Here is a 22,724-nt window from a genome sequence, read left to right on the forward strand (position 1 = left end):
ATTTGGGCAATTATATTTATATTTTTACTTATTACCATTAAAATGCACGATGGGTTAGATTTTGTCATAATACATTTATTTTTAACAACCTCACATTACTATATGCAACTATGTCAAGAAGTTTTTTTCTCTTTAGAAAATTTGCTTTCCTACTTTTGACAATGATTATTTCATCCTTTTCATAACTGATTAAAATGACCTCCTTCTTTAATTTTTAGTGATGTCCTTGCCAAATGCTTTATTGAGAAAATAAGCCATTAGATGGGAACTTCCCACAGCAAAACAGAAATGTAGTGGCACCTGCACCTACCCATATCGTCCTTCTTTCCTCTAATTATAAAAGGCAGTGTCCCTCTATTTGTCAGAGGCTAATCCTCTACTCTTCCTCTCTCCCTGTCTCCCTCTCTCTCTTCTGCATATCCAGGCTCTTTTTTTCTGTAGGATCATTGCCACAAACAGATGTTCTATTATATTCTTTCTCATTATCTTATTCTTATCACCAGGGGAACCTATTACACATACAAATATCCAGGTCTATCCCAAGAATCTCCAGGAAAAGAGAATGGAGTTTGGATGTTTTATAAAAATGCCAGGTGATTTTTTTCTCCTCTGGAAAATTTAGGTGATATTGCTTGTCAATATTACCCCTGCTGGCCCCACATCTCTGCCAACTACTTCCCTACTTCTCTAACACTCTTCACAGCCAAACTTCTCAAATAATGGACTCACAGACATAAAGTCAATATTCTGAAAATTTATCAATTTTCTCCCCCTAGCCTGATCCTTCCACTGCCTAATTAATTGCATACACCAGCAGCTACCCATTCACCTAACCAGGAATTAGAGCAACTCTTGGTACCTCTTTCTTCCCCTCTACACTGTGATCATCTGGATCAATGAGATCTATCTCTATCCCTTTTCACTGAAAACACTCTCCTCATGGCTGTTTCGTCTTCTGACCTGGACCACTGCAATAGGCTCCTAACTTGTCCCCTGCTTTGATTGCTTTCAAACTCCAAACATTTTTTTTGCACAGCCTCCAGAATCTTCTTATCAAAACATATATGATATAGTTTCAGTCACCTGTTTATAATCAATATTGAATTCACGTTACACTTATAAAAAAATCTCCTTTTGGTTGTTTAAAAAGCCCTGCTGACTGGGTGGAGTGACTCAAAACTGCAATACCAGCTATTCAGGAGACTGGGGCTGGAGGATAACTTGTGGCCAGGAGTTGGAGACCAGTTTGGGTGTTATAGCAAGACCCCCATCCCTACAAATTTTTTTTTAAATGGGCCAGGCATGGTGGTGTTTGCCAGTGGTCCTAGCTACTCAGGAGGCTGTAGCAGAAGGATTGCTTAAGTCCAGGAGTTTGAGGTTACAGTGAGCAATGGTAACAACACTGCACTCAGCCTGGGTGACAGAGCAAGACACTGTCTCTTGAAAAAAATTATAAATTAATTAAAAAAGAAAATTTTGAAAAGTCTTGCTTCTCCAATGTTATTATCTTATTCAAATAAATTTTATTCGAAAACTATTTTTATATAATACAATGAGATGACTATAGTCAATAATACCTTAATTGTGTATTTTAAAATAAATGGTGTTTTCTGCCACTCTTGTAAACAACAGACAAGTACAGACCAGAGGAAGGAAATAAGTAAATGGCCGTGATGGGCGATAAAGGAATAGCTGCGAAAGAGTCTGAGGAGCTGATGTTTGAGACCTGCAGGAAGGGAATGAGCCAGCTGTGTAACCTCCTCCTCACCAAAAAGAATATTCTTGGCACAGGATTAAAAAATGCAAAAGTCTTGAGATGAGAAAGGGTTTGGAGAGTTCTAGGAAGTGGCAGAGAATAATATGACTGAAGGGAGTCTGTCATGAACCTAAGGAGGTAAACAGAAGCCAGAGCACTTGAGGCTACACAGGCCATGGTGAGGACTTTGAAATATTTTTCAAATGCATGAGGAATTCATTAGGCATCTGAACCAGAGAAGTAAGATGATTTGATTTATATGACTGCTTTGTAGAGGGAGGAGCAAAAGTATGAGGAGGTGGGGGTCATTTTAACCTTTCGACTTGTGCCACCTTCATCTAAACAATACTCTAACCTCAGTGGCTACTTCTAGTTCCTTCAGAAAACAAAAGCATTTCAGAAGATTGTAGCACATGCTGTTTGCCTTGTCTCAGATTCTCCTTTGCACCTTTCTTCCTTAAGGAAGCAACTTACACATCATGTATGTGTTGACTCATTCTGTGGCAGCACCAGTGAAATAAAGTTTAACATCATTATTCTTTTACAGAGCACCATATTCTCGTTCTTCATCACTATTTTAATTCTGTTTTCTGTGATTGTGTCTGTGTATTCTTTTTAACTATCCATTTTCTCAATAAACTCTAAGCCCTGTGAGAGCACACACCATGCTTCTCTCGTATTACCAGTGCAGATTGATAATGGGTGCTCTGTAAATGTCTCCTAAATACCTAATAAATATGTGCTGACATCATTAGTAAATTTACATTTCAAAAGATGCAATTTATAGAAAAAATTCCAGTGTTTTTCTGCTCTCTGAACAGATTTTTTTAATAGACATTGATCATATGGTAAAAGCCTAGACCTGTTCTCCTAAGCAAAATTCTGCATGTGTACCTTTCTGTCAACTCAACTCCAGAAATACACTCCTAAAAATTTAATAGGAGACTTCAAAACTGAATTCGTGGCTGGTACAAAGCATTCAAGTTTCTGAATGGTGTAGTTATTCAGATCAGTGCATAGAACTGTGTTTATACACGTACCCTGTAGTGTCTTTTAAGAAAAACAACATCATTCTGATAGAAATGATGTTTCTTCAGTCTTTCTGGATTTAGTACATTTTATGGTCAAATTTTATTTTTTTCTTGGTGGCTAAGTACCTTTTGAAACTAATTGTTTGAATTTAAAAACGTTGTTGCATATACCGCAATAGAAGTCTTTTTATAATGCATCATTTCACTTTTCAGCCTTCATTAGAGTTGATGATTTATAGCAGTACCATTCTCAAAGAATCTTCCGCTTAGAGTGTCTCCATGAATATCGTCACTGGAAGTGGGGAAGGTGGAAAAGCTGATGGTCAGGGTGGGCCAGATCAAACAATTACTTAGATGCTGCAAAGAATCATAATAAGGGAAGGACAGTTACATTAAACTTTGTGTTATGCTTGTTCCCTAGTAATTGATTGCTTTTTCTAAAAGTAGAGTAAATCAGAGGAGATGTGAGGGTTTTAAGTTTTGATAGTACATCAGTACAAGGCTACAGATGTTTATTCAACAATAACCGTGTGTGAGACATTATGTTAGGTCCTGTGATGATTATATAGGTACCAGATGTAGCTTCCATCCTCAACAGCTTACGTTTAAATGTGGAAGAAAAAAGAATATTTAGAACACTATAATACCCCTCAGAACATGTAATTATTAGAGCAAAAATAAAAGGAGTTCGGGAATCCCGAGGGGAGGTGAGTTTACTTTTATATTTGGAGTTTTCTGGTATTTGTATGCAAAAGGGACTTTTGGATAGTGGATGAAATTGAAATTTCTACAGGTAGGTAACAGGAAAACAGGCTGGGGGAACACTACAGAAAAGGGAAGACATGCAAATAGGTAGGATACTTCCAAATCACATCGCATAATACGGTTTTGCTAGACTATAGGATAAAAAAAGGAAATTATGGGGAAAAAGCCTGATAGATCAGGGATCCTCAGCCCCCGTGCCATGGACTGCTTCCAGGCCATGGCCTGTTACGAACCAGGTGGCAAAGCAGAAGGCAAACGGCGGGCTGGTGAGCATTACCGCCTGAGCTCTACTTACTGCAGATCAGCAGGGGCATTAGATTATCATAGGAGAGCAAACCCTGTTGTGAACCGCACACACGAGGAGTCTAGGTTATGCGCTCCTCATGATAATCTAATGCCTGATGATCTGAGGCAGAACAGTTTCATACTGAAACCATCCCCCACCACACCCCCATTCGTGGAAAAATTGTCTTCCATGAAACTGGCCCCTGGTGCCAAACAGGTTGGGGACCGCTGCGATAGATGATTCGTCAGGTGATGGAAGACTAAATGTCATTTCTAGACATTTGGGCTTTTATCCATAAGGAAAGGGGAGACACTGAAGTTACTGAAGTGATATGTTGCACTGTGTTTAGGGAATAGTTCTTTGGCAGCTACTTCTAAAAAGGGCTGGAGATGAAGGGATTCATACGAGAGAATTAAGCTTTCAATAGTCTAAGAAAAGGATCTGCTATGCTAGAGCAGGGAAAGTAGACAGTGTGTGAATTCAATATGTTTTATTAAAGTGAGTTCTATAGGACATAGTGACTGAGATGTGCAGAGTGACAGAGAAAGTATCAGAGAATACTTCCAGGTTCTGAATGTGGAGCCTTTGAGATCAGCCTTCTCATTGACAGTGGTAGGAAGAACAGAAGGAAGAACAGGTCTGCCATGCAGATAAGCATTCTTGGCAACAGTCAAGAAACTAATTTAAATGTTTGAATGCCTCCTGTTTCCATTGTATGTAACAAGGTGTAGTGGCAGCCAATCCAGATTTTAGGCACCTTGTAAGGGGGCTGTGGAGCCAATCAGTGACAGGAAATGGCAATACAAGAAGGAAAACAAATACGAAACATTCACTAATATCTCAGAATATTAACTCACTACGTTGACTGCCACCAAGAGAGAAAGAAAATTCCCTTTATTTTGAGCTTTGGAGAGCAGTGCCAGTTATATCACAGAAGAATGTGAAATGGTAGGTAGAAACGAGGAACAATCAGGGTGATAGGATGAGGTTTAGACTACTGCAGAAAACCACAGTGCAAGGCATTTCCAAAAAGTAGATTCAAACGGTATTAACAAAAGCTGAAAAAGGGAAAGAAAAACAAAAACTGAGGGAATAGACTTCCAGTTAAATAATAGAAGGATTTATAATCCATTGGGTATATACCCAGTAATGGGATTGCTGGGTCAAATGGTATTTCTGGTTCTATGTCTTTGTGGAATCGCCACACTCTCTTCTATAATGGTTGAACTAATTTACACGCCCACCAACAGTGTAAAAGCATTCCTATTTCTCTGCATCTTCGCTGGCATCTGTTGTTTCTAGACTTTTTAATGATCGCCATTCTAACTGGCGTGCACACGTATGTTTGTTGCAGGACTATTTACAATAGCAAAAACTTGGAACCAACCCAAATGCCCATCAATGATAGACTGAATAAAGAAAACGTAGCACATATACACCATGGAATACTATGCAGCCATAAAAAGAATGAGTTCATGTCCTTTGCAGGGACGTGGATGAAGCTGGAGACCATCATTCTCAGCAAACTAACACAGGAACAGAAAACCAAACACTGCATGTTCTCACTCATAAGTGGGAGTTGAACAATGAGAACGCATGGACTCAGGGAGAGGAACATCACACACCAGGGCCTATTGGAGGGTGAAGGGAAAGGGAAAGGATAGCATTCTGACAAATACCTAATGCATGTGGAGCTTAAAACCTAGATGATGTGTTGATAGGTGCAGCAAACCACCAAGTCACATGTATACCTATGTAACAAACCTGCAGGTTCAACACATGTACCCCAGAACTTAAGGTAAAATTTTAAAAAAGATAGAAGGAACATTGAGGTATTAAGAAAACTATTCTGAATTTTGGAATAATATATATTACATTGTGAGAGACCTAATTATAAAATTGGATAATGAAAAGGCAAGGCAAAACAAGAAGATGTGCATAAAAGAATGAAAACAAAAGAAGCTCTCCTCTCTTTTTTTATAAGAATCAAAGAAATGTTTCTTCTTTCTTCTCTTTCTCTTCCTCTTTTTCTTACTCTTTCTTTCTTTCTTTCTCTTTCTTTCTTCCCTTCTTTCTCTCCTTCCTTCTCTCCTTCCTTCTCTCCTTCCTTCCTTCCTTCCTTCCTTCCTTCCTTCGTTCCTTCCTTTCTTCCTTTCTTTCTTTCTTGACAGTGTTTCACTCTTGTCGCCCGGGCTGGCATGCAATGGTGCCATCCTCCGCCTCCTGGGTTCAGGCGATTCTCCTGCCTCAGCCTCCTGAGTATCTGGAATTATAGGCACTCCCCACCATGCCTGACTAATGTTTGTATTCTTAGTGGAGATGGGGTTTCACCGTGTTGACCAGGCTGGTCTCGAACTCCTGACCTCAGGTGATCCACTTGCCTTGGCCTTTCAAATTGCTGAGAATTCAGGCTTAAGCCACCACATCCAGCCCAAAGGGATGTTTTTTAAAGATTGTTCTTGATAGAAAATGCCACCATGAAAATAAATAGAAAATAGTCTTAAAATAAAAATATTCTTTAACTTCCCAACACATTGTTTTGTACATATAAGAGAAATACACATTTATTTTTTAAAAACATATTTTGAAAGATTATAATATAACTTCTAGATTTAAATAAATTTATTCACTTATTTTATAACTGAAGCTAAATTAAAAATTGACTAATAACAGAAAAATGAGAATGTGTTTCTATTCAAGTAGTAAGATACCCTTTTTATTTTTGAAGATATGAGATTTTTATTATTGACAATATTAATTTTGAAGAGATGTATGTGTGTGCATATGTGTGTAAAATGAAATAGAGAAATAATTTCTTCTTAAGTTCACAGAATTTCCACTAGCCAGGTATTGAATTCTTCTATACTGTTGTAAATTGATAAAATTCAAATTCTTGACACAAAAAAATTAGATAATACATTCAAAATATTTAGAACGAGGTTTTAAATGGAAGGCAACACAATTCATGACACAGACTTAAGCAATATATTTAATAATATTTAGAACAAGGTTCTGCAGACCCAATTATATTTAGTTAATTTAATTGAAATGTTTTTAAATATATTGTTTCATTGCATTGATCACTAACTTTGAAGGGATTTATTTTTATTAACTTGCAGCATAGAAAGGAGTAAAAATAAACAATACTCATATTTTCCCCAGTTAATGAAAATAAACAAGTATTAGTAAAAAGCTTCTGATCTCTAAGAGTACATAATAGAATTCTTTTTGAGAATAACTGCTGTTTTGACAAATACCATATCCTTCAAGACAAATCGAACAACCAAAAGACAATCTGCCTTTATTTCTCAAAATGACTTTGACCTCAAATTCTGAAACTGACAGGGTGACTTTGCTCAGTGAATAAATATGATACAGAACCTTTTAGAGGGAATCGAATATGCCGAATACCCAAGTGATCTCTCTGTCTCTCTTTTTTTTTTTTTTTATTATACTCTAAGTTTTAGGGTACATGTGCACATTGTGCAGGTTAGTTACATATGTATACATGTGCCATGCTGGTGCGCTGCACCCACTAATGTGTCATCTAGCATTAGGTATATCTCCCAATGCTATCCCTCCCCCCTCCCCCGACCCCACCACAGTCCCCAGAGTGTGATATTCCCCTTCCTGTGTCCATGTGATCTCATTGTTCAATTCCCACCTATGAGTGAGAATATGCGGTGTTTGGTTTTTTATTCTTGCGATAGTTTACTGAGAATGATGGTTTCCAATTTCATCCATGTCCCTACAAAGGATATGAACTCATCATTTTTTATGGCTGCATAGTATTCCATGGTGTATATGTGCCACATTTTCTTAATCCAGTCTATCATTGTTGGACATTTGGGTTGGTTCCAAGTCTTTGCTATTGAGAATAGTGCCGCAATAAACATACGTGTGCATGTGTCTTTATAGCAGCATGATTTATACTCATTTGGGTATATACCCAGTAATGGGATGGCTGGGTCAAATGGTATTTCTAGTTCTAGATCCCTGAGGAATCGCCACACTGACTTCCACAATGGTTGAACTAGTTTACAGTCCCACCAACAGTGTAAAAGTGTTCCTATTTCTCCGCATCCTCTCCAGCACCTGTTGTTTCCTGACTTTTTAATGATTGCCATTCTAACTGGTGTGAGATGATATCTCATAGTGGTTTTGATTTGCATTTCTCTGATGGCCAGTGATGATGAGCATTTCTTCATGTGTTTTTTGGCTGCATAAATGTCTTCTTTTGAGAAGTGTCTGTTCATGTCCTTCACCCACTTTTTGATGGGGTTGTTTGTTTTTTTCTTGTAAATTTGTTTGAGTTCATTGTAGATTCTGGATATTAGCCCTTTGTCAGATGAGTAGGTTGCAAAAATTTTCTCCCATGTTGTAGGTTGCCTGTTCACTCTGATGGTAGTTTCTTTTGCTGTGCAGAAGCTCTTTAGTTTAATTAGATCCCATTTGTCAATTTTGTCTTTTGTTGCCATTGCTTTTGGTGTTTTGGACATGAAGTCCTTGCCCACGCCTATGTCCTGAATGGTAATGCCTAGGTTTTCTTCTAGGGTTTTTATGGTTTTAGGTTTAACGTTTAAATCTTTAATCCATCTTGAATTGATTTTTGTATAAGGTGTAAGGAAGGGATCCAGTTTCAGCTTTCTACATATGGCTAGCCAGTTTTCCCAGCACCATTTATTAAATAAGGAATCCTTTCCCCATTGCTTGTTTTTCTCAGGTTTGTCAAAGATCAGATAGTTGTAGATATGCGGCATTATTTCTGAGGGCTCTGTTCTGTTCCATTGATCTATATCTCTGTTTTGGTACCAGTACCATGCTGTTTTGGTTACTGTAGCCTTGGAGTATAGTTTGAAGTCAGGTAGTGTGATGCCTCCAGCTTTGTTCTTTTGGCTTAGGATTGACTTGGCAATGCGGGCTCTTTTTTGGTTCCATATGAACTTTAAAGTAGTTTTTTCCAATTCTGTGAAGAAAGTCATTGGTAGCTTGATGGGGATGGCATTGAATCTGTAAATTACCTTGGGCAGTATGGCCATTTTCACGATATTGATTCTTCCTACCCATGAGCATGGAATGTTCTTCCATTTGTTTGTCTCCTCTTTTATTTCCTTGAGCAGTGGTTTGTAGTTCTCCTTGAAGAGGTCCTTCACATCCCTTGTAAGTTGGATTCCTAGGTATTTTATTCTCTTTGAAGCAATTGTGAATGGGAGTTCACCCATGATTTGGCTCTCTGTTTGTCTGTTGTTGGTGTATAAGAATGCTTGTGATTTTTGTACATTGATTTTGTATCCTGAGACTTTGCTGAAGTTGCTTATCAGCTTAAGGAGATTTTGGGCTGAGACGATGGGGTTTTCTAGATAAACAATCATGTCGTCTGCAAACAGGGACAATTTGACTTCCTCTTTTCCTAATTGAATACCCTTTATTTCCTTCTCCTGCCTGATTGCCCTGGCCAGAACTTCCAACACTATGTTGAATAGGAGCGGTGAGAGAGGGCATCCCTGTCTTGTGCCGGTTTTCAAAGGGAATGCTTCCAGTTTTTGCCCATTCAGTATGATATTGGCTGTGGGTTTGTCATAGATAGCTCTTATTATTTTGAAATACGTCCCATCAATACCTAATTTATTGAGAGTTTTTAGCATGAAGGGTTGTTGAATTTTGTCAAAGGCTTTTTCTGCATCTATTGAGATAATCATGTGGTTTTTGTCTTTGGCTCTATTTATATGCTGGATTACATTTATTGATTTGCGTATATTGAACCAGCCTTGCATCCCAGGGATGAAGCCCACTTGATCATGGTGGATAAGCTTTTTGATGTGCTGCTGGATTCGGTTTGCCAGTATTTTATTGAGGATTTTTGCATCAATGTTCATCAAGGATATTGGTCTAAAATTCTCTTTTTTGGTTGTGTCTCTGCCCGGCTTTGGTATCAGAATGATGCTGGCCTCATAAAATGAGTTAGGGAGGATTCCCTCTTTTTCTATTGATTGGAATAGTTTCAGAAGGAATGGTACCAGTTCCTCCTTGTACCTCTGGTAGAATTCGGCTGTGAATCCATCTGGTCCTGGACTCTTTTTGGTTGGTAAACTATTGATTATTGCCACAATTTCAGAGCCTGTTATTGGTCGATTCAGAGATTCAACTTCTTCCTGGTTTAGTCTTGGGAGAGTGTATGTGTCGAGGAATGTATCCATTTCTTCTAGATTTTCTAGTTTATTTGCGTAGAGGTGTTTGTAGTATTCTCTGATGGTAGTTTGTATTTCTGTGGGATCGGTGGTGATATCCCCTTTATCATTTTTTATTGTGTCTATTTGATTCTTCTCTCTTTTTTTCTTTATTAGTCTTGCTAGCGGTCTATCAATTTTGTTGATCCTTTCAAAAAACCAGCTCCTGGATTCATTGATTTTTTGAAGGGTTTTTTGTGTCTCTATTTCCTTCAGTTCTGCTCTGATTTTAGTTATTTCTTGCCTTCTGCTAGCTTTTGAATGTGTTTGCTCTTGCTTTTCTAGTTCTTTTAATTGTGATGTTAGGGTGTCAATTTTGGATCTTTCCTGCTTTCTCTTGTAGGCATTTAGTGCTATAAATTTCCCTCTACACACTGCTTTGAATGTGTCCCAGAGATTCTGGTATGTGGTGTCTTTGTTCTCGTTGGTTTCAAAGAACATCTTTATTTCTGCCTTCATTTCGTTATGTACCCAGTAGTCATTCAGGAGCAGGTTGTTCAGTTTCCATGTAGTTGAGCGGCTTTGAGTGAGATTCTTAATCCTGAGTTCTAGTTTGATTGCACTGTGGTCTGAGAGATAGTTTGTTATAATTTCTGTTCTTTTACATTTGCTGAGGAGAGCTTTACTTCCAACTATGTGGTCAATTTTGGAATAGGTGTGGTGTGGTGCTGAAAAAAATGTATATTCTGTTGATTTGGGGTGGAGAGTTCTGTAGATGTCTATTAGGTCTGCTTGGTGCAGAGCTGAGTTCAATTCCTGGGTATCCTTGTTGACTTTCTGTCTCGTTGATCTGTCTAATGTTGACAGTGGGGTGTTAAAGTCTCCCATTATTAATGTGTGGGAGTCTAAGTCTCTTTGTAGGTCACTGAGGACTTGCTTTATGAATCTGGGTGCTCCTGTATTGGGTGCATAAATATTTAGGATAGTTAGCTCCTCTTGTTGAATTGATCCCTTTACCATTATGTAATGGCCTTCTTTGTCTCTTTTGATCTTTGTTGGTTTAAAGTCTGTTTTATCAGAGACTAGGATTGCAACCCCTGCCTTTTTTTGTTTTCCATTGGCTTGGTAGATCTTCCTCCATCCTTTTATTTTGAGCCTATGTGTGTCTCTGCACGTGAGATGGGTTTCCTGAATACAGCACACTGATGGGTCTTGACTCTTTATCCAACTTGCCAGTCTGTGTCTTTTAATTGCAGAATTTAGTCCATTTATATTTAAAGTTAATATTGTTATGTGTGAATTTGATCCTGTCATTATGATGTTAGCTGGTGATTTTGCTCATTAGTTGATGCAGTTTCTTCCTAGTCTCGATGGTCTTTACATTTTGGCATGATTTTGCAGCGGCTGGTACCGGTTGTTCCTTTCCATGTTTAGCGCTTCCTTCAGGAGCTCTTTTAGGGCAGGCCTGGTGGTGACAAAATCTCTCAACATTTGCTTGTCTATAAAGTATTTTATTTCTCCTTCACTTATGAAGCTTAGTTTGGCTGGATATGAAATTCTGGGTTGAAAATTCTTTTCTTTAAGAATGTTGAATATTGGCCCCCACTCTCTTCTGGCTTGTAGGGTTTCTGCCGAGAGATCCGCTGTTAGTCTGATGGGCTTTCCTTTGAGGGTAACCCGACCTTTCTCTCTGGCTGCCCTTAACATTTTTTCCTTCATTTCAACTTTGGTGAATCTGACAATTATGTGTCTTGGAGTTGCTCTTCTCGAGGAGTATCTTTGTGGCGTTCTCTGTATTTCCTGAATCTGAACGTTGGCCTGCCTTGCTAGATTGGGGAAGTTCTCCTGGATAATATCCTGCAGAGTGTTTTCCAACTTGGTTCCATTCTCCACATCACTTTCAGGTACACCAATCAGACGTAGATTTGGTCTTTTCACATAGTCCCATATTTCTTGGAGGCTTTGCTCATTTCTTTTTATTCTTTTTTCTCTAAACTTCCCTTCTCGCTTCATTTCATTCATTTCATCTTCCATTGCTGATACCCTTTCTTCCAGTTGATCGCATCGGCTCCTGAGGCTTCTGCATTCTTCACGTAGTTCTCGAGCCTTGGTTTTCAGCTCCATCAGCTCCTTTAAGCACTTCTCTGTATTGGTTATTCTAGTTATACATTCTTCTAAATTTTTTTCAAAGTTTTCAACTTCTTTGCCTTTGGTTTGAATGTCCTCCCGTAGCTCAGAGTAATTTGATCGTCTGAAGCCTTCTTCTCTCAGCTCGTCAAAATCATTCTCCATCCAGCTTTGTTCTGTTGCTGGTGAGGAACTGCGTTCCTTTGGAGGAGGAGAGGCGCTCTGCGTTTTAGAGTTTCCAGTTTTTCTGTTCTGTTTTTTCCCCATCTTTGTGGTTTTATCTACTTTTGGTCTTTGATGATGGTGATGTACAGATGGGTTTTCGGTGTAGATGTCCTTTCTGGTTGTTAGTTTTCCTTCTAACAGACAGGACCCTCAGCTGCAGGTCTGTTGGAATACCCTGCCGTGTGAGGTGTCAGTGTGCCCCTGCTGGGGGGTGCCTCCCAGTTAGGCTGCTCGGGGGTCAGGAGTCAGGGACCCACTTGAGGAGGCAGTCTGCCTGTTCTCAGATCTCCAGCTGCGTGCTGGGAGAACCACTGCTCTCTTCAAAGCTGTCAGACAGGGACACTTAAGTCTGCAGAGGTTACTGCTGTCTTTTTGTTTGTCTGTGCCCTGCCCCCAGAGGTGGAGCCTACAGAGGCAGGCAGGCCTCCTTGAGCTGTGGTGGGCTCCACCCAGTTCGAGCTTCCTGGCTGCTTTGTTTACCTAAGCAAGCCTGGGCAATGGCGGGCGCCCCTCCCCCAGCCTCGTTGCCGCCTTGCAGTTTGATCTCAGACTGCTGTGCTAGCAATCAGCGAGACTCCGTGGGCGTAGGACCCTCCGAGCCAGGTGTGGGATATAGTCTTGTGGTGCGCCGTTTCTTAAGCCGGTCTGAAAAGCGCAATATTCGGGTGGGAGTGACCCGATTTTCCAGGTGCGTCCGTCACCCCTTTCTTTGACTCGGAAAGGGAACTCCCTGACCCCTTGCGCTTCCCAGGTGAGGCAATGCCTCGCCCTGCTTCGGCTCGCGCACGGTGCGCACACACACTGGCCTGCGCCCACTGTCTGGCACTCCCTAGTGAGATGAACCCGGTACCTCAGATGGAAATGCAGAAATCACCGTCTTATGCGTCGCTCACGCTGGGAGCTGTAGACCGGAGCTGTTCCTATTCGGCCATCTTGGCTCCTCCCTCCTGTCTCTCTTTTTTAATCTTAAAATCAAAACAGCTAATTTTACCACACGGAGGAATTAAACCAGGTGTAACGGCTATAACTTCAAAGATTTTTGTCCTTAAGGCCTAGAGATAATTAAAATAAACACAATGACTTTATTTCTCCTTAATGTGTCATTTATGTACTAGGTTCCTGTTGGGAACTGTATATATTCAAAATTATTTTTAGTTACTGATGAAAAATTAAATTCATTTTATCGTATCTGGATTTTTAATTTTAGTGATAAAGATCAAGGTCATCGGCAATCAACATTAAAATAAATTGGCAAATATAAGATTTTCCCCCTGAAATACATTGGGGAAACATTTGAAATTTTAAAAAACAGTTATAAAATGTACGGAAAAAATATATTACTATTCTCAAACAATAATAAATTCAGATACAATTATTAGTATTTTGGCTTTAAAAAGTTGCTTTTTAGATTTAATGTATTTCCTGAAACTATTCACAACAAATAAAAAATAATTATAATGTTACAGTATGCATCTCCAATGTTATTACCTCCTTGTAGACATAATAGGCATATACTTATTCATTCAAGAAATGTGTATTAGTTATTATTTTTGATATTTGAGGAGTAAATCTCTTTGTAATCAAAAGGAGTCTATTAAGTGAGAAATGGATAACTAGAGATTCAGAATTCTAAGGTAGCATTGAAATAAGATTATTACCCGAAGATATTCCTGGGATTGGCAGTTGTTTATTGAGCTTTTTCCCCAGTATCTGGTGCTAATTTTTATGCACCTATTTACAGCTAAAATAGGAATTGATGGGAAGAAAATATATATGTACCTCTCTAATGCAACAGTATAAAACCCATGAAAGAATAATTCACAAATCTTAATAGAAAGAGAGAGAAAGAAAGGGAAGAAAGTTATTTTTCACTTCCCCTGAGCAAATATGTAATTTCCATGATTTCTTTTTAATGACTGCGGTCTGTAGCCAGTAGGTACTGATTTATGAAAAGCTGTAAAAGATCAGGTGGAGCTCTGTAGGACATCGTTTACAGCTGCATGGATTGAAACCTATCTAATTTGTCTAGTAAAAGTGTGAGCTCACGGTGCACATCACCCAGCCTATAAATTTCCCCTTCAGACCAATGTCTGGGGCTGGGTCTGAAAAAACGCCAATGCCTGCAGCTGCTCAAAGGCCCAGATTCCCTTGGTGCGCATGAAGAGACATCACAGGCTCTTCACAGTGAGAGACAAATTCCTATCCATTGATAAACTCTCCAGATGTCCTCTCTGAGGAGGAAAGGAACCAATTTTTATTTGAAATCCCCAGAGAAATCCTGGAAGTGGAAAAATGATACTTTGCAGGGCTAGTTATTCTGAGGTCATTGGCATTAAAATTAGGTCATTTTTTTTTGTCTTGGATGCACTTTGATCCAAGTCATAAACAGACAAACTCAGTTGGGGTCACTAATCCTTAATCCACACGTCCTGTTCTATTTCAATTTGTTTATACTAATTTTCTCTAAACTCTTGTTGAGTCTGGCTAAAGTGTTGAGTGTAAAAGTACAAACTATTCTGAACTGAGAAGAAAGAATTCTGCATTTTGCTATTAGGCACACTTCATAAATATTCTGAATAAATGTCCTGGGGTTTGATTCTTCATACCCACAAACCCATAAATAAAAAAGTATTACTATTCATGGGACTAAAACTTGACATAAGATTCTGTGCTCCAGCTACTGTAGACAGAGAAACTGTGGCGTGTGCGCGCGCATGCCTGTAGATAGTTTAATGTCTTGTCTCATTCTAGGTTTCACATGATTTTTCTTCTAAAATCTTCTCACACCTGATTTAATGCTATTCTTATCAATTTTTTAGTGGTTCAATGACTTATCCAATGAGTCTAATGTAATGTCTAATGCTTGCTAGTGACAAAGACTATTTCACTCATGATAACTATGCTGAAACAACCCATGAATATTGTGTACATTTTGGTGTATATCTGTAATTACTCAAGTTCTTAGGAAAAGAATAAAAATACAAAATTTTCAATTATAAAAATAAGCTGTTTTTCTTCCTAAGATGAGTAATTTAAAAAATCATAAAGTCGTTTGCATATATGTTTCAGAAGAAGATAACTTATGAAATGTTATATTGATATTTTATAGTTTTCCTGATATTGCTAAAGGAAAAAATTAATATTTATATAATATGGCCCAATCCTTTTTTAGATAATCTCTGAGAGTTAGTAAAACTAAACTATATCAGAGAAATAGAAATTATAAACTCCATAATTAAGATTTTCAATTTATAATTTGAACTTGTGAAGTAAAAAGGATTGAGGTAATTGAGTTTAGTCTAGTGGACAGAAGTTTGAAGAATCCTTCCCTTTCAACTTCCCTCCACTACACAAATGACCATCACAGAGAGGGGACTATTAATCTATATTTTCCACAGAGTATGTAAATAGAGTCAGAACCAATGTTGCAATTTTTTTTTCCTGAAACTCAGGGTTAAAACTGCACTAAAATGTGACCATTTTTATCAAATACGTTTCATGCATCGCTGTAAAAATCCAGATAGTGAATTCACAAACTTCTCATATGTTCCAAGTAATAGCATGTAGGTGTAGGGCACGATCTAAAATTATCCTGGCTCACGAATCAACTTTACACTTGAGCAGGTCTTTTGTACATAAGAGAGTAAGTTGAAGAATATCACCAGAAGTGGTATAAACCTCTCAATTAAAAGACCTATTTAAGTGTGCGCAGAGCTGGCACAGATTTGCTTCATAGATTTTCTCATTTAGAACAGGAGCTTTTACCACATATCCTAGATGGTAATCAATGATTGCTACTCATATGTAAAACATTATACAGTTTTATTTCATGTATATTGTTCATTTTGCTATTTCATGCTATTTCTAAAGATATTGAAATTAGCCCCTTAGAGACCTAAATTTATGTCTAAAATAAGGATAAATGCATGTCGATATATTATTTGTTTTGGTGTCTTCTCACCACAAATTCTAAACTTTGAATTTAAACACTTCAAATGACAGACTTCACTTAGACTAATCTTTCATTTCAAGTATATAAGAAAAATATGAAGTTCTAGTTTTAATACTCCTAATTTTGGAGATTTTTATTGAAAGATTCTGAAGAACTAAAACGGCAAAAAATCAAAATATACCCTCTTAATTATTAAATAAAGATTAAATTATATATAAAGTTTTAACATTAATACTATATTTTATTACAATAATGAAAAAAATCACAGACAGCAGAATAGCACTTCTGTTTTCAAGCATTTGCAGTGGAATGATTGTGAAGTTGTAAAAGTTACTGACTATTCTAATGAAGCCCCTAATAATGGCTACTTTTCAGGGTTGTTATACTATTATGTACATAATATTATATATGACTAAATTTCTAGTTACTTAAAATGGTGGTTAACAAGATCATTGCATTCCCAGCATTATATATAAACTGATATTTACTCTGCTATTTTCTTTTTGAAGTTTTCAGAAGTTTAACCATTTCACCATTTACATAAGAATAATGAACAGCTAACACATAGTGCTTATTATGAGCCAGCACTGTTCTAAGTGCTTCCCACATATGCTCATTTAATCTTCATTTGTGTGAAATTGATATCCTCACCATCATCCCCATTTTACAGATGAGGAAACAGACAAGAAATTCACCAAGGTCACACAAATAGTATGTGGTATACCTGGGATTCAACCCAGGCCTTACGGTTCCAGTATCTGTGCACTAAACTTCAGGGCATATAAACATCGAATATGCCACATGATGGAATCATAAATCATTTAAGAAAAAACAGGGGAAATGCAATATGAACAAAGTTTTACCTAAATGGCACAGTGTACCAGTCAAGAATGTGGACTGTGGTATAGAATAATGTGGGTCTAAAGGCCAGCTCTGCCTCTTTTGCCTGAGGAAACTTAGCTTCGTAACTTAATGTGATTTAGTTTCAGCTTCTTTATCTATCTCAGAGGATAGCATCAGTGCCTAACAGGTACTGTAAGGATTAAGGTCCTTCATGTCTGTGTAATATTCTTAGCATGATGCCTGCCACATTGAGTGCACATGAACGTTTGATATAATATGAAAACAAGGGCCTTAAAAACTTATTTCTGTCATTGTTATTATTCATCCAAAACTAAAGGCTTTTATAACTACCTTGTGCCCAAGCTCCCTTCCTTAGGAGAAAAGAAGAGAGAAGTCAATATATTGTTCACCTAGTGACTGGCTCCAGTCTTATAAGTCAAAGGACAATTAAAGAGGCCACTAAGAGCTGAAGAAAAAAAAAAACACACCAAAGACATTTCACCAACAGTCTGCTTCTTTTGCCTCTTCAGGGAGGCAAACATTGTCTCATTCATTTCCTTTATGCCTCTTCTGTTCCATTGATTTACCAGGTCTTGCAGGTGGTTATAGATAGATGTTTAGGCCTGTATTTATATAAAAAAATCCTAGAAGGAAGTCCTTTTTCTTTCTCTCTTTCTTTTTGAGACGGAGTTTCGCTCCTGTTGCCCAGGCTGGAGTGCAATGGCATGAACTCGGCTCACCGCAACCTTCGCCTCCCAGGTTCAAGCGATTCTCCTGCTTCAGCGTCCCGAGTAGCTGGGATTACAGGCATGTGCCACCATGGCTAATTTGGTATTTTTAGTAGAGATGGAGTTTCTCCATGTTGGTGAGGTTGGTCTCGAACTCCTGACCTCAGGTGACCCGCCGGCCTCAACCTCCCAAAGTGCTGGGATTACAGGAGTGAGCCACTGCGCCCGGCCCTTTTTCTTAAAGCTGATTGTATTGTGCAATATAAATCACAATTACAATCCCTCTCTGAGTCTCTGTGTGTGTGTGTGTATGTGTGTGTGTATATATATAAAATATTATGTATATATCATGTGTATATAAACACATTACATATATAATGTATATATCATGAATAATGTGTTGCATATATATATCATGAACTTCATTTGGTGTCAAGTATGCAAGAATGTTTTTTCTTATCAGTCATCTACTTTTTTCTATTATTTTTTATTTTTAATGACATGCAGCATTATTTAACTCTGTATTGAGTTTATGTCCTGCTGTGAGTGTAGCCTAGATTGTTCAAGCCATTCTTTAGACAGCAACCTGTGCAATGTCAAACAAACAAACAAACATCCAGTGGGAAATACTTAAAATATTGAAACTGAATCCATCATCAAAGCAGACAGCAAAGAATTCAGTGTGTCCTGCCTACTGTAACCGTATCCTAAATTACTACCATTTTTGCTAGTGATTAAATTCAATGATAATAAAATATGTATGGATATATTTATGTCTTTCACTGGAAAATTTTCAGTGATTTAAAAGCATTTGTGGATGGAGAAGGGGAGAACTTAGACAAGATGATTACACGGCGTTCCTCCAAGCTGCCAGCTTGAACAGATGAAGCTTTCATGGCAGATAAATTCCACAAATGAAAGGAACACCATATGAAGTCTGGAAGTTCCTGCCGATGTTAGTGTCAAATTTTGACACACAGCAACTCTGCTGACTCCTGATCTGTCTCCCTTTGGTGTTTTTTTTCTTGCAGGCCATCAAACCTTCTTCTGGACCAAAGCAATGTGGATATCACTACCTTCCGCACAACAGGTGACTGGCTTAATGGTGTCTGGACAGCACACTGCAAGGAAATCTTCACGGGTGTGGAGTACAGTTCTTGTGACACAATAGCCAAGATTTCCACAGAGTAAGAAAAAAAAATTCATTAAGAAGAATGAAGGATTCTTTTGAACTTTCTTGGCTTGACATGAAAGATTTGTAACATCTTGGCTTGACATGTTACAAATATTAGTGGTAGATCTGAGGTACTGACTACCGCCTGGAACTGCTAATCAGGGCCCTGGGTCTCCTTGTGGCCCACAGCTTCTGGATTGATACATATTGATGTGTCTTCCTCTCTCAAGATAGGGCCCAGGATCGGTGTCTTTAGATATGACCTTCAGATCAACCAACAGATTCACACCCATAACCACACTGCAGACTCAAGCCCCTAATTTAAAACATAAGCAGACATAGATTGATGATTATTATATTTCTGCATTTTGTGATTTTTCTGTTATTTTTACTAAAGCTTAACATCTGTGAATCAGGAAAATTGAGAGCCAAGTAGATAATGTGGTATACAAGGAAACATATTAAAGTCTAAAACTGGTTTTCATAGTTGCTAAATAAACATAACAACATGTATTCATCATTGTCTACCCTGTAAAGGATATCATGCTAGAAAATGAAGTTATAATTAGGTTTAAGATAGAATTTTTGGGTTTTCCTCAAAAGGCTTATTGCCAGATGAGAAAGAAAAAATATGCGTCATAATATTAATATTAATTGATAGCTTTATGTGTTAAAAACCAATAATAATCAAGTATAATATGCTGTATTTTGTGGACAATCATCTTTGGGTAACAGGAATCTTTTGATATGAGAAACACATGGACTCAAGGAAAGGTGGTATATAAAGAATCAAGTGAATCCAGTGAATAGTCAAAAATTTGGTTCTTATTCACAAAGTAGAGTGTTTGGGAATTGATAAATTAAGAGTTGGAAGTCACATTCTTCATCTCACTGTGATTGAGAACCAATTTACTTCACTTCCTAATGTGACTACATAATTTTTTCTTTTTCTGCACAGTGACATTTTCTGGATTCCCATGCGCATAGCTAAAAACTGGCTTTCTAAACTCTTGGTCATATAGCCTTATAGTGCCATTCAACTGACCAGGGTCCAACTCCCTTAATCTAAGTTACCAGGAGAGAAAGTAGGACTGGCTCAGTCCCACTTGTACATTGGCACCTCCAAAGTCATATGTTTACTAGTATCTAGTCATTTATCTTCAAAAGAAGTAGAATGAGGTAGTATGAACTTGGCTCTAGGGGCCTTTTCCTGAAGATAAGATGGAGAACTGTCCCAAAGAAAGAAGTGTATACTGGATAGATACACCAAAAGTTGTCCAGCATGTTGTCGCTTGCATGGTCTATTGGGAAACTGTTCATCTTTGTGTCAGTCTTTCTTTGATCTTTGTTAAATTAAATAAACCCTTTAGTCCCCCAAGTTTAAGTATTATCATCTCCCACTAATATTTAAATATTTAAATATTGTTGAATATATAAAGACTTTCATTGCCACCCTGTCAATCATTCAACATCACTGTGAAAAATAACAGATTAGATGCCAGAAAAGAACATGCCATGTAATTAATAGATATAAGTGCCCAACAAACAAATAAATAAGTTTATAATTTATGGTGTAACATTACAATCAGAAAGACATAAAGCCAAAGAAGGACTTACAGGAACAGTTTACGATTATTGAAGAAGAGGACTTGTTCTAAAAAAATAAACTTACCCTAGTCAATTTAACATGCACCAGCATTCTTGTTCAAAGTGGAATGTGGTGTTTATTGAATAGACTTCTGACCCAATCGACAGTACACTTGGGTTTCTGTGGTACTTATTTTGATCAGATACAGTCTCAGGATATAGTCATGTGTTTAAATATTTTTATAAATTCTTATTTTAGTAATATAAACAGTTAGGGTTATGATACACAAAACACCTGCTGTAGAGCACAGAAGCATAGCGAAAAGCAAACACAAAGTTGAACATGTCCACATCACTGCCAGATTTTCAAAGGCAAAGTTATGCAAATGTTTACTCTCAATAAAATATCAACACTCAAAACTTTTAGATATTGAAACACTATATTGAAATGTATGAGGCAGAACACTGTTGATAAGATTAACTGCTAGTTTGCAATTCAAATATTGTCAGCCATTATAAGCTATGAATGTGATAAGAAAGCTATTTGCTTTAAAAAAGTGAATGACAGCATTTGTCATACTTTCCAAGTTAGCGACATTACTTATGTCAGCAATACCATGTTGGACGTCAAACTCTTTTTGGCTGATTGGAATATTTTTACTTAATTGTTATTATTATTTGAACAACCTGTGAATATACATTCAAGATGAAAACTGACTTTTCCTGAAAGACAGCTTTTTCAGGTTTGTCCTGCACACTGAGTCAGGTGGTATGGATATGTCCATATTGCACTCCCCACAATATTCCTTCTTCTGTCCTTTCTCCTCAATTCAGGGACAATATAGGATTAACACCTTTGCCCTAACACTCCTTCTTGAAAGGAGCTGCTTTTTTCCTTGAGTCTTCATAGTGTCATGCACCTCATGCTCCTAATTTATATTACAAAAAGAGAATTTATTAAAAGTCTTTAACATACTAATAATTTGGGTAAATATAATGAGGCAACATTTTCAGCATAAATGCTGTAAAATATTGAGCTAGATATTTTAGCTTTCTTTCGGGTTCCTGGCTTATTGTTTGAATTTGATTGCTTTCAGTCTGTATTTTCTTTGTGCCATCCAGACTCAATTCAGAAATGATTTGCTCGACCAAATAACTGTGGAGATCCTCCTAGAATAGAAAAAGATACCTTTATTCCTATTCAGGCTGTCAAAGTATAGGAAAAGATCAATAAAATTTCACATTCAAATGCATATTAATTTATTTTCGTTAGTTTAGAGATTTCATTGACATGCAAGCTACTCAAGTTATCTCATTTTTGAACAAAGCCCAGAACACATGCAATTTTGTTTAATAAATACATATTTCAAGACATTATTTCATAACCTAAGATGGATTTAGGAAGGTTAAAGTGAGAAAGGAAGAGAGAAAGGGAAAGGTTAGAGTGGCTGTGACTGTGGAACTAGAAAGAGAATTAAGTGTGTGGAATGAATATTAAGCAGATTCATTGCCACATGTCATTATCCTGCACCCTTGGATGCCATTTTCAAAGTGTCATCACCTATCCCTTTGCCTTTGAAGTACCAGATAACACTTTAACCTCTGGTCTCAGTCTGGAGCTGCTCTTTAGTCTTGAACTTTTCCGCCACTCTTCTGAACAGGACAGTCAAAATGAAATGAGCACACAGAGTGTTATGGAGACAGCAGCAACTGGGGGTTCCAAATTATTTTGGACATGCAGAGTAGTGGACAGAAGATATTCGGGCAAGAATAGAGAGACTAGAGGGTGTTTAAAAGCCCTAGCTAAGGAATAACCCAAATGGATAATTACTTTAATTCTCTTTTCAAAAGTCCAATATAATCATTTGCATTAAGTAAAAAAATTGTATATAAAACATTTATATGTAGTATATTTATATAAATATATAAAAATATATATTATATATTATATATAATATATAATGTTTATATATTGTAGATAACATATATAAACATGTATATATATATAAACATGTATATATATAAGCATATTATATATATATATGTTTGCTTATATTGGGTTCACAGATACAGAATGTAAAAC

The 22,724-nt window shown here is 37.4% G+C and overlaps 1 protein-coding gene across 4 annotated transcripts in view, besides 1 other annotated feature; it reads left to right on the forward strand.

The window, feature by feature from the left end:
- Positions 1-22,724, forward strand: part of EPHA3 (EPH receptor A3) — a 374,514-nt gene that overhangs the window by 345,932 nt on the left and 5,858 nt on the right. For 2 of the 4 annotated variants that reach the window (NM_005233.6, XM_005264715.4), the window contains exon 16: positions 18,912-19,067. In NM_005233.6, coding sequence (NP_005224.2) covers positions 18,912-19,067 — 156 coding nt within the window. The remainder of the gene's footprint in view (positions 1-18,911; positions 19,068-22,724) is intronic. The other 2 variants (NM_001410778.1, XM_047447673.1) reach the window with 1 other exon arrangement.
- Positions 13,012-13,602: an enhancer, noted in NCBI's record as "OCT4-NANOG-H3K27ac-H3K4me1 hESC enhancer chr3:89515714-89516304 (GRCh37/hg19 assembly coordinates)". NCBI's record gives its function as "activates a minimal SCP1, AML or CMV promoter by ChIP-STARR-seq in primed H9 embryonic stem cells {active_cell/tissue: H9 hESC(primed)}" and the evidence as "EXISTENCE:reporter gene assay evidence [ECO:0000049][PMID:30033119]".

Source organism: Homo sapiens, chromosome 3 (genome assembly GCF_000001405.40).
Source record: "Homo sapiens chromosome 3, GRCh38.p14 Primary Assembly".
Classification (NCBI taxonomy): Eukaryota; Metazoa; Chordata; class Mammalia; order Primates; family Hominidae; genus Homo; species Homo sapiens.